This window comes from Homo sapiens, chromosome 15 (assembly GCF_000001405.40).
Source record: "Homo sapiens chromosome 15, GRCh38.p14 Primary Assembly".
NCBI classification, from domain to species: domain Eukaryota; kingdom Metazoa; phylum Chordata; class Mammalia; order Primates; family Hominidae; genus Homo; species Homo sapiens.
The window spans coordinates 70,377,431-70,389,934 of record NC_000015.10 but is presented as its reverse complement, the minus strand read 5'-3'; the positions used below and the strand labels follow the sequence as shown (position 1 = coordinate 70,389,934).

The 12,504-nt window shown below is 48.0% G+C and overlaps 2 annotated features.

Annotated features, from left to right (window-relative positions):
- Positions 10,954-11,453: an enhancer, noted in NCBI's record as "H3K4me1 hESC enhancer chr15:70670821-70671320 (GRCh37/hg19 assembly coordinates)". NCBI's record gives its function as "activates a minimal SCP1, AML or CMV promoter by ChIP-STARR-seq in naive H9 embryonic stem cells {active_cell/tissue: H9 hESC(naive)}" and the evidence as "EXISTENCE:reporter gene assay evidence [ECO:0000049][PMID:30033119]".
- Positions 11,454-11,955: an enhancer, noted in NCBI's record as "H3K4me1 hESC enhancer chr15:70670319-70670820 (GRCh37/hg19 assembly coordinates)". NCBI's record gives its function as "activates a minimal SCP1, AML or CMV promoter by ChIP-STARR-seq in naive H9 embryonic stem cells {active_cell/tissue: H9 hESC(naive)}" and the evidence as "EXISTENCE:reporter gene assay evidence [ECO:0000049][PMID:30033119]".

Below are 12,504 nucleotides of genomic sequence, written 5' to 3'. Positions count from 1 at the left end.
CACTTTTATTAATATAGATTTATTATTTTTAATCTCAGGAAAGTTTTCTTCTAACATTTGTAAAGTATTTTTCTGATTGTGTTTGCTCTTTTTAGTCATTTTTGTTTTTTAATTAATACAGTTTTGGAAGAGATTTTGTGATTGCCATATCTTCTGTGCCATATTTCCTAAGAGTTTAGGAAAATAATTTAGGGAAATAATAAATTTTTCCCTGGAAGAAAGAAGTTCCTAGAAAAACGCAAGTTGGGAATAAAAGTAGGCATATGCACTATACTCACACAAGCACACATACGTGCCTGGAATACATACACTGAGGTGCTAAGTGGCTATGTCACCTCTGCGTCCTGCCTATATGCATTTGTGTTTTCTTTCTGGTTTGTGTCCATATGTTTATCTTGCCTACAATGAGCATGGATTGCTTCAGTGATAACTCCCAACACTCAAGCAGATTTTGGGAGCGGAAAGAATGAGCCTCATTCAATAGCTCATTTACCAAACATTTCCTTAGCATCCACTTCTCTTCAATCAGGAATTTAACACTTTTCCTCCTATTCAGGCTGGAATAGTTATTCCAAAGTGAAAATTAAAGGATGGAGATTGACTGCTGGTGTAAACAATCTCTCCAAAATGGAAGTGTTTCTCACATATCTCTCCTAGAGTCACTTGACTTGAAGCAGGTCCTGGGCCTCCTCTCTGTGGCTTAGGCAAGGGGGCTGCCAGTGGGCAGATGTGGCCCGTAGGTGCATTTTGACAGCACGGTGATTACCATTTTTGTTTGTTTGTTTTTAAAACTTTTGAGCCTTTAACTGGGGGATGTGCTCTCCAGTTCTCCACAGTCTTCATAGCCCCTCACTGGGGTACCCCTGGCCTATCCCACACATTTATGGTACTTGCCTGATCCCTACAGGACTTCTGGTGCAGGAGGTGATAGATGAGTGTTCAAGAGGCACCAAAATGAGCTCCTACTTCCTTTATTTTTTTTATCCATATTTATGTACTTACTAGGACAGAAGGGCAGAAGAGGGACATGAAGGTGAGTATAAACAGTGTAAGTCATAACCCTGTTTGAGGGAAGTGGCTAATTTGGCTCTGAGCTTCCCAGTGGCTAAATCAAAGAAGGCAACCCAATCAGTTTTACAATTTACATTGTCAGTAAGTCTAAAATTGAAGTATTTTCTCAAGAGAAATAAGCTTTACTTTGAAAACAAGCTCCTAAGATGAAAACTGCCTTTGCATACTTTCTCTAGACTTGGGAGCTCAGGATTCTAAAATGATCCCAGTAGAAGCTGTACAAATACATTAAATGCAAAATGCGTATAGCACAAGCTTGATATCTATATGAGCTAATTGAGAGGAGAAAAGATTTTGAGTTTAGCACATAAGCACTTAGTATATCTTTCTTCCCACATTATAGATAGCACTGCTATTTTCTAAGTAGAAACTGAAATATTTCATCTATGCATGCAAATTAGTCTGGACTCTGTGCCCAAGGCATAAAACAAATGGAATCATGAATATTTTTAAAGGAATGTATTCTACCTCTTTTTTGTTCCTGTCTAGTTACTGGTGCCGTATAAATGGAGGGGTCTGGGGAGTGGGATCATATTTAGTTGATGGGACCTGAGGGTGGAATCAGGGAGACTCTGCTCTAGTGTTGTCACATCTGAGTGTTTCTCAACTTGGCTGGGTGCTCACTGTAAACACCTGGAAATCTTTGAACAATACTATGCCTTTGTCTCACCCCAGAACAATTGCATCTGAATCTCTGGGGTGGGGCCTAGGGGATTACTTTTGTTCAAAAGGTCTTCCAGTGATTCTAGGGTACAGTCACGGCCTTGAGCTCTGATGTCTCTGGGCCAGTGGTTCTCCACCTCTAGTGCATGAGACTCACTTGGCAAGCTGGTTGAAATGCAGATTCCTGGGCCTCATCCCCTTCCTCAATATTCTCATTTAGTAAGTCTCTGCAGGTCAGGTCAGTGTTGAGAGCAACTGACCTAGTCTTTCTTTCCACCTAGTGTCACAAAGTAGGTGCTACGTCTTCAAATGTAGAAGCAAGTGTGGAATAGAATAATCAGTAAAAAAAGGAAAAGGGCATCAGAAACCAGAAGGAAAAAGACAATCACAGCAGAAACCTGCAAGCACAGTCATTATAACTGAACACAGAATTTTACTCTGCTTTTCCTGCAACCAGGACCTCCATCTCTGCTGGCCCTGAGGCCTTGTTCTTACTATTTAACATTGCCAGACACAAGTTTCCTCACTGGTAAAATGAGAGTTCTAATACATGATGCACAGAAATGGAGTTTCTCCATAGCCACTGATTGAGTTTCTGGGAAGGGACAGAGGATGAGGACATTTTGAAAAGAGCCTGGGATAAGTGTGGGAGCACCCGGGCTCTTGTGGGTGCTGGTTTCTAAGCCATTGCACCTGCCAAGCCAGGAGCTGAGTTTCTAGTGGAAACCTCTGACCCGCTTCTTGCTAATGCCTGACAGTCCATTTCCCAAGGGAGGTTAAAGGACATCTCTGTCTCAAGCAGGCATTTCCCATAATCCAAGAGATAGGGATGAGAAATGTCTGCTGGTGCCACTGGGTGTCTTAACAAGGGAGACCCCTGGGGTGGCAGGAGCCGCAGTAGACACACTGGTCCCTCCGCCTGCCCCTCAGCACGGCCTGGCTGCTCAAGGCCTTTGAAGGATGAATTTTCATGCGACGTCTGTGTTTTCACTTGGAGAGACCCGACAGGAGCTGCTGCAATATTTCACCAGCTCTTGTGTTTGTCAGCTCCACTAATCATCAGCCTCAATCACTGGTGCGATATTTTATGAATTAATAAAAATGATCACGGGCAGTCCAGGGGGACCCAGGGAAGAAATGCGTGCGGTAGAATTTTAATGAGCACCGTGGGGAATTTCAACCTTTTCTCGCTTTTTGTTTTTATTTTTTAAAAAATCTTCCCTTCTTCCTTCCACGCCCCCCTCTGAAATCTTTTTCTTGCCCGAGCCCCTCCCCTTTAGCAAAATCATAGCTAGAGCTGTTCTAAATCACTGTCACACAAATTAGGTGTTTTCCCTCAGCCTGTTGTTTGGCCCACAACAGTGTCGTCCTGTGCTGCAAATGTGCCCCATGCACCTGCTCTCTGTCCTAATTGAGCAGATGATCTGCCGATTTGTCATGCTTAGCCCAGACCCCCTTCCTGGCACCCCCTCCCCCATACTGCCAGCCTTGGCCTGCCTGGAACATTGGGCAGATGTAGAGCTTCCCGTGTGTGTGTGTGTGTGTGTGTGTGTGTGTGTGTGTTATGACAGATCTTGTACTCATTATTGAATAATTCATTGTTGCGTTAATGTCTTCAGATACCATCTCTCACTTCCTCACTCTTTCTCTCTCTCATCTGGCTCGCTTGGGAAAACTTGATTATGCCTGCCGCTCTGACGACAGAGTATACAGATAAAAGATAATTGCTTGGCTTGACTCCTCCATTGATATGAAAATAAGATTTAAATTATTCACTCTGGTTTAAAGGTTAGTTGAAGGTTATTACAGGGGATGAAGGAAAAAAAATCACTCTTCATAACGTTCGGGGTTGAGATAAGACAGATTTGAAAGGGCCTAATTTGCACTGTAGGCAGAAGCACCTTGTGAATAAACTGAGACTCCCTCTAGAGATTTTAATCTAGGAGAAGTCAATTATTTATAAGCAAATTATGGCCGGCTTTTCATATATATAAAACACTCTGTGTCATAAATAAGGACATGGTGGCGTCTGTTCCTTTCTCAGCACCCAGTTTTTCTTGATCTCGAAGCTCTGGCCTTGTCACAACAGGAATTTAATGAGGCGCCTCTGTTAGGAGGGTCAGCTGACTTGGTGGGGGCTACTTTTAATAGATGATAATGGTAATGATAATAATAATTTGGCTTTGGGGGTGGGTCTCTGCCTCTGGGCCTGACCCCTTGCCCGACGGGAATGGCCCGGGAAGCGGGGGGCCTATGGGGACACTGGCCACCTGCGATTGGCCCCCTCTTGCCCACCAAGCATTGGTGTTCCCAGTGGGTTCTTGCAGATTTACATAGGAAATCATCTCAGAGCTGCTTCTGCCCAGGGAGGCACATCTCCTGCCTGAGAATCAATAATTAATGGCCTTCCATATTTCTGGAAGTTGGGCGCTGCTTCAGAAAGTATCCAGTGGCCTCCTCCTCTATAGCGCTCCATGCATTAATCATGGCCAGCCATTTTTATCAAAATGCAGAGCTGCGGAACCTGAGTGTTCTTCTCTCTGGTGGGCCCACTTTGCAGCCCGTCCCAGGAATGCTCTCGAGGAGCCCCTGGGTGAGTGACTTGGGGCTGGGCGTCATGTTCCCTAGAACCTCCTTTCACTGTACAATCACAGGAACCTTTGCTCCTCCTATTACCTGCAAATAGGGCATCATGCATGCAACCCTGCAATCCCCTGGGATTGGTTTAGGAAATACGTAGTGTCAGAGAGCTAGGCTTGTAGGACTCCAAGAAGGATCTTGGCCTGCAAGCCCTGAGGCTGCCTCTAAGGGGGGGTCTGGCCAGGCGAGGTTGCCCTCTGTCTGGCTGTGGAAAACTTTCAATCATCTGCTCCCTCTCTAGATGATTACAAAGCCTCCAAGCTGTTAGCCCCAGTTAGTTCTCCACAGGGATCCTATCTGGAAAGGATCCTTGCCCCTGGCAGGTTTCAGGAAGATCTGGAACAGCCTGGGTTTGCCGAGGTGCCTGGCCTGGTGTGGGCGGTCTGGCCTGGCCTGGTGTGGGCGGTCTGACCTGGCCAGCTCGGGGGCATCGTGGTAAGGAAGAGGAGGTGGGAAAAGGGCAGCTGGCAGTGATGGTGTGTGGGAACAAGAGGCTGCAGATGGGTCAGTGCCGCTTCTGAGCAGTTTGGATTTGGGGGCGCTTGCTGGTTATCAGCAAGGTGACATTCCTCCACCCCTCTTGCTTCAGCCTAGAAGTTCTGCAAGCTCCTTTTTTATATATATATATGTGCCTATATATATATATACACATATATATGTACCTATATATACACATATATAGGTACCTATATACACACATATATAGGTACCTATATACACACATATATAGGTACCTATATACACACATATATAGGTACCTATATACACACATATATAGGTACCTATATACACACATATATATGTACATATATATACACGTATATAGGCACCTATATACACGTATATAGGCACCTATATATGTAAAAGCTTCACACACACACACACACACACACACACACACACACACACACAGACTATAAAGCATAATCCATTCTTGAGATCTAGAGAGGTTAAGTGACTTGCCCAAAGTCACACAGCAAATAAATGGCACACCTTAGACCCAAAACCAGCTCTCCTGATACCTAGATAATAATATTTTAGGGTGTTTTTTTTCCTATCTAGTGTTTGAGATCCAGAAAAAAATAAATGCTGCTTTTTACTGTACAATCTGGCCCCGCATGGAGGTGTGGGGCCGGGCAGGGCTTAGTTCTTCATCTGTAGGGGATAGAACAGGGGTCTCCTGGGCTCCTTTGAGCTCTAAATTCTATGAATACAAATGTAGCAGAATATTCCTCAAGGAATATTCTCAATGGCAGAGACCCTATCTTAAGTCATTATGAACAGAAACATTTGCTGTACATTTACCTTGAACAAGCCCCGCTCCAGGCCCTGCAAGGGGATGTGGATGACAGAATTCTCAAAGGTCTTGTCAGTCTGCAGAAAGCCTAACGTAGATAGGTGAGGGCCCTCCAGCTGGTAGGAGTCGGTGTGAAGCTGCAGGGTCAGGGCCGCAAGTGCTGCAGGAGTTCCCAGTTGGGGAGAGACCCACAGGAGCCAGAGCTGGCAGGGCCAGCTTCTGGGAGGAAGAGAGGCTGAGTAAGATGCTGAGATGGCAGGGTCTGCTAGACAGAGAGAGAGGGAAGGCATGGTGAGTGGGATACTGAGCGCGTGCACCACTCACTCTCGCAGGAGGGGCCGCAAGCTTAGAGCAATTTGCTAAGGCAAGGTCTGAAGGATGAACCAACTTTCACTTAAGGGAAGCTGGTTGCACCACACCAAGGAGAATTTTAATTATTTCAAATCTCTGGGTTCTAAGGCCCCATAAGAGGTCTGGAATAGAGGCCACTCCACCAACGGTACACTGAGCATGTGTTGGGTGAGCGGTGGGTTGGGCCAGGCTGGGGGATTTATGGAGAGCTGCGATGCTCAGTGGAGCCCCTGCTTGTCTTGGAGCAGAAGGATGATGTGAAAGCAATGTCCAAGACAAGACTTACTGGAATGAAGAGGCCAGGGATAGGAAAGCTACGGAGGAAGCCTTCGGCTGATGTGTTTAGGTGTGGCCTAGGGGTAGAGCTGGGTTAAGTATTTCCAGAGATGAGATGATAGAATTTCCTGAAGAAATCTAAAGAAGGAAGTACCAAAGTGAGTGCAGAAAGAAAAACGGTGGCTGGGGAGGAGATGGGGAGTTTTGGGTGAGGAAACATGAGGAACTGACTCTGGGGAGTCATGGGGAGAGGGTCTATGGGTGATCAGTGACAGAGCTCATGAAGAGAACTGGACCAGGTGGGTCACACGTCTGGGAAGGGACATGACTTGATAACACGATCACTGGCAGTGGAGCAGCCCCAGGGCCCTGGCACTCCCACCATGGGCTTAGTGCTTCTACCACTAGGCCGCACTGCCTCTTAACATCACCTGTACAGAGACAAGGAAGCGAGAGGTGAGCCCAGCAGTTTGCCTCCTCTACTCACTCTCCCAGATGGGGCTTTAAGCTCAGAGCTCTTCGCTAAGGCAAGGTCTGAAGGAGGATCCGAGCTGCACTTAAGGGGAGCTGGTTGCATCATGCCAAGGAGGATTTTAATTATTTCAAATCTCTGGGTTCTGGAAGGCCCCATAAGAGATCTGGGATGGAGGCCACTCCACAAGCACAAATGATTGATTGCCCACGCAGGACCGCTAGGTTAATGAGTCCGAGGTCGCTGCGGGAGATGGGTATCCATCCAATCGCTGGATATTAAAACCCTCCTAATCATTTTTGCAAGCTGACTCCCTAATGTGATCCAGTGATGTGCCTGGATTTAAGTTCTCATTACCCATTTCCACCCACAGGTAGAAGGTCTCGCTCATTCACCACGGGCAATTTCCTGCCCCATTACGTGTGAAAATCAGAGAGTGGCCAGGCCCGTTAGGAGAGCTAAGGAGTCCTTTTCCTCCTCTTTTTCAAGTCACAGTAAAGGAGCCCTTTCTGTAAGACTCACGGTTGTGACTCTGAGTGCCAGGCCAGCATGGAGCCCACCAGTGCCTGACATTAGATAGTGCCCTTCAGATGTGGGCTACTGTGCTTGTTCACCCTCCCCTCAGTGGCTAGGCTCGGGGGTCAAACCGTCAGGCTTGGAACATCTCCCAGACATTTCCCTTCTTTTAATAACAACCCTTCACATCTGAGCAGAAAGTATGGTCTGCTTTTCAGGGCAACTTCTCCCCCATGGCCTCCCAGACATCCTCTGAAAGGAATGATAGCAGAGGTCATCTGTGCCCTGGCCTTGGAGAAGCCTGTGATGCTGAAGGTTGGCTCTCACCATACACACCTTATGTTACCATCTCCCCATGTGCTTTTCTCTCCTCTAAATCCAGGTTAAAGAGAGCGGAGACCACATCTGTATTTGTTAGCTATTGCTGCGTAACAAATTATCCCTGAATGTCATAGTTTAAAGCAACAATAAACATTTATATCTCACACAGTTTCTGTGGGTCAGGAGTCCTGACACTCTGTGTTCAATGGAGGTTGGTGCATGAATGAGTGCCTCAGTGTAGAGACATCTGTGTGAAATGCTGTGTTTAACAGTGTGGTGTGTGTAGCATTTTTTCAATGGTAAATGTTGAAACTGTCTAATAGAGCTAGGCATGTGAGTTACTGATGATGAGTTACCATCAGTATAGTGGTATTCAGGAATGATTTAGCTGGGGGTTCTTGTTCAAGGCCCTCAAGAAGTTGCAGTCATGATGTCAGCTGGGACTGCAGTCATCGGAAACTTGACTGAGCTGGAAGATTTGTTTCCAAGATGGCTCTCTTACACAGCAGGGAAGCTGATGCTGGCTGTTGGCAGGAGGCCTCAGTTCCTTGTCACGTGGAACCACACGCCATAGGGCTGCTTGAGTGTCCTCACAGCATGGCAGCTACCTTCCCCCACAGTGAGGGATCCAAAGGAGGAGAAAGCAGCACTGTCTTGTCCCACCTAGCCTCAGAGGTCACATTCCATCTTTTCTGCAAATTCTGTCTCTTAACAAAGGTCAGCCTATTCAGGGTGGAGGAGGCTGCTTAAGGACATCAGTCCCAGCAGGCACTGGGGACCATCTCAGAGGCCGGCTACATCTGATATCGCTCATGGTAGATGCTCCATAAAGGGGGGGATAATAATTAAACACCTCTTTGGCTTATTTAACCTTTACAACAGCCTTAGGGAAGTTTTTTTTCCTTCCCAGATGAAAAAGCAGGCTAGAAAAGGGCTTACTCAAGATCCAGCAGTGCAGAAGCTGCTGAACCAGAATTAGAACCCAGGCGGTCTCCTTTCTCTCTTGGTAGAGCATGCTCTCTCTATTTCATCAAGCCGCCTACCTTGAGCTAAGGGTTGATTCTTCCCTGATGAGAATTCTGTGTTATAGGTAGGGTGTGTGGTATTATGCTTGATTTAGAGATAAGGAAACTGAGTCCCCAAGCATTCAGTGACTTCACGGCACCTTGTAGCAGAGCTAGAACTGGAACTCAGCACTCCTGTTTTTCAGCCTAAAGCTCCGCTCACCAAAAATGCTGCCTCTCAGTGAAGCGATATGAGGCTGTTTTCTTCTAAGTCTCTCATTTTATGGAAGAGGAGACGGAAGCCAGGACATCACACATCTTGGGGCATGCAGGGACCCTAACCAAGACACCTTGAGTCTAGGACTCATTGAGAGAGAAAAGAGTTAGGCAGCTGGAGACCAAAGTATTTCCACAGCTCTTCTGGAGGTGACTATGAGCTGCTCTTCATCAGAGGAATTTCATTTTGTCTGGGGACCAGGAGGGGAACCTAGCTTGTGGCTCTCATCCAAGGCACCACCCAGCTTCCTTGCCTTCCTTTCTCTGGATGCAGATGAAGCTGGGTGGTAACTGCCATTCACTGAATACTTCCCAGTCCACAAGGCATTCTCCACATTCACAATCTTGAGGAGGAACTGCAGAGTGGTCACTCTCAGGGCCCTGGAGATAGGCACCCTGGGCCCCTACTTCCTGTGTGGCCTGGGAAAGGTCTCGCCCTCTCAGGGGTCTAGAGATAAGGAAACAGAAGCTCCAAGAGTTCAGTGACTTCATGGCACCTGCAGAACTGTGAGTGTGCCTACACCATGGTGGGATTGTTTTTAGGGTTAAATGAAATACAAATGAAAGGTATTCAGGTGGTTGACACCTAGTAAATGCTTGAGTTAACTAATGATTGCATCTCATTTATTCTTCGCCACTTCCTGAGAGAAGAAGTTGTGTATACACATGAGGAGGGGAACCTTGGACACCCGATATCTGCCAGCATGTGTGGGATGAGGTGCCTGACACACATCATCTGTTCCACCCGCACAGGGACTCCTGTCTTATAGCTGAGAAAGAAGAGGCCCTGAGGAGGAGATGGCTCCCCAGGAGTCACAGGGCCGGAGAGCCCAGCAGGCTCCAGGACCCAAGTCCCCCCAGCTCTGTCTGCTAGAGGGGTGTTGTGGGGAGTCAGTGTCAGATGGGGTGCCTGGGGCTGAGAGGGCTCTGAGCCGGGAAGCCATGTGCTTCCTGAGGCTTGGAGGAGAGTGGAGGGACAGGGCCCAACAAGGAGGCCCAGGATGGCCTGGCTCAATAGTAACAGGGCCTGGGTCAGTTTGGGGACGTCGCTGCCCTGAGCCATGGTCCTGACCCAGACTAACAATCGTTAACATGATCTTTGCCCATTTCATGCCAGTGCCCCCCAGGTCCTCTTTCACCCCCTAGACTTTAAACTCCATAAAGCCCCTTAGACCATAATTATTCCCTAGAAGGAACCTGGGAGATAGATAAGGTGGGTGGTATTGTGCCCACATTACAGATGAGGAAATCGAGGCGCAGAAACAGATCTCTTTTCTTGCAGCCTTGTTCACTGAACTGCACCCATGCCTTCCCTGTGCCCCCTCCTGCACTCCCCCTTTCCCTGTTTGATTTTTATCTGTGACACTTACCACCCCTGATATTCTTTCTATTTTTTTATTTAATTTGTCACTATGTCTAATTTCCAATGTCAGTTCCAAGAGGGCAGAGATGTTTGTTTTGTTGGTTCACTGCTGTGTCTGTGCCATGTAGACCGGTACTTAAAAGGCCCTTGATGCAACAACCTCTCTGAATCTTCCTAACCACCCTGGTGTAGGTGCGACCCTTAATGCCCTCTAAGATGGGCAGAGGGGTAGAGGGACCACACAACACCCGCGGCTGCACCGTCAGTGAGGGAAGGGGCTGGAGGATACGTCCTGTCTCCCTACCAAGTTGCCTCTCTACAGTTGCCTGTGTGTGATTCGGAAAGTAGGAAGAATACTTTTTTCCACACTACAACAGGAGCGGAGGGCAGGAGCACAGCTGCACCACCCCAGAATCTCTCCACTCCCACCTCTCCATCCACGGCTGCTAGCAAGATTATAGCTCATGCAACCATGTCCCAGGGACCCGACAGCCCAGTCCCAGAGCATCAAACATGGGAGAGAGAGTAGGCTTAGAGAGTCCATTCTTCCATTTTATGAATGGGTAAAATGAGGCTAGGGAGGAAAAGAGGGCACTCAACTTGCTTCTAAACATGGAACATTTCAGAGGACTGGACACTCATTTCTGCACCCATTCCTCTGCTCCCCACAATACCCAGTTATTAATTTGCCCCTCCTCATAGCCACAGGTCCATTTTCCCTCCCAGCATGCTTTGTGGTCCAGCCTCCCCTACCCCCAACCCTGCCACTGACATGGGAACAAAATCCCACTTCCACACCCACATCTCTGGGTCTGATGCGGGCCCTGGCTCTAACTCACTGGCTGACCTTGGGAACTTGTTTCCTCATCTGTAAAGGATTTAAGGTTTGCAAGGCCAGTGTCTCTTTTGCTGTGTGTGAGATGCCAGACTCCTGGGTTCACCCATGTAAGCTGGGCCCTCACCCTCTCTGCCCCCGGCCCATGGGCTTGTAGCTAGTTGAAAGCAGCTCTGCCTGACTATGGAGGCCAAGAATTACTTTGCCAGCGAGACATCCAGCTAGCCAGGGGGCGAGGGGCCTGCCCAGAGGAGATGGGTGGAGACTAAGGCTGCAAACACTGCTAGTGAGATGTGCTCACACTCTGGGATATGGCAACTCTTCTCTGAGGTGCTAGGAGGGAAATGGAGTGGCTCCCTCAGCCTCGCCTGGAGCAGGGAGGGGCTGGAGATCTGGGTCCTTGTCTGGGCAACCAAGGAGATGGCAGGAGCACAGCAGTGAATCACAATAGCTGAGTTGAGTGCATGCTTCCTCTGGCAGGCTCTGCTAAGTGCTTTCTGCGCACCAACCCTTAGCCTAGCCTTCTTGGGGTCACGCTGACATCTCTGTTTTACAGATGAGGCAACTGCGGCCCAGGGAAATTAAAGAACTTGCCCTTCTAGATGGCAGGGCAGGGCCCAGATCCAAGGGCGATCTAGCTCCAAAACCAAGCTGGTACTTTTCCATGATGCCACGCTCAGGTGGCTGCCAGCTGCAGTTCGCTGTCTCTCTTCCCTATCATCTTGGGGAAAAGGCTTTTAGCTTTTACCTTTGGTTTCTGCAGCCCAGAATTGTGATTGAACAACGTGATAGGGGAGGCCGGCTAATCTTGCAGGACGGCTGCATTCTAGGATAATAGGAACACATGCACATACCTGCACACAAATGTATACTCATATGCACACATGTATGCAGTACTCCAGTAGCTACACACACACACACACACACACACACACACACACACACACACACACACAGAGCCCTCCATGCTGACCCCACCAACTGTACATGCATACATGTAAACATATACTTGTAGGTGTGGGCACCTGTCCTTGTTTATGCTTATATGTGTGAATGTGCCCACACACGTGCACACATACACATGCCTTGAGCATGCACATATGCTCAGCTCCACGGAGGGTTTAATCTCACACATCTTTCAATATTCCTTTTGAAAGCCCATTCTGCAGTTGCTAGGAAATATGGAGGCAGAAAGAGTTCCATGCCTTTCCTTTTTCTCTTGGATAGGAATTCCCACAACTCCCAGGCTCTGGCAAGCCCTGTCTTCCAGGCTTTCTCTGCACACTCCCCTGCCCCCACAGTGACACTCCCTCTCACCGTCGCTGCCCCCACCCCACCTGTCCGGGGTTCTATTTCTCTGAGCCACCATCAGGCTTCTCCTGTTGGCTTTGAAGGGCAGCAGCAGGGAGGGGAGGTTGG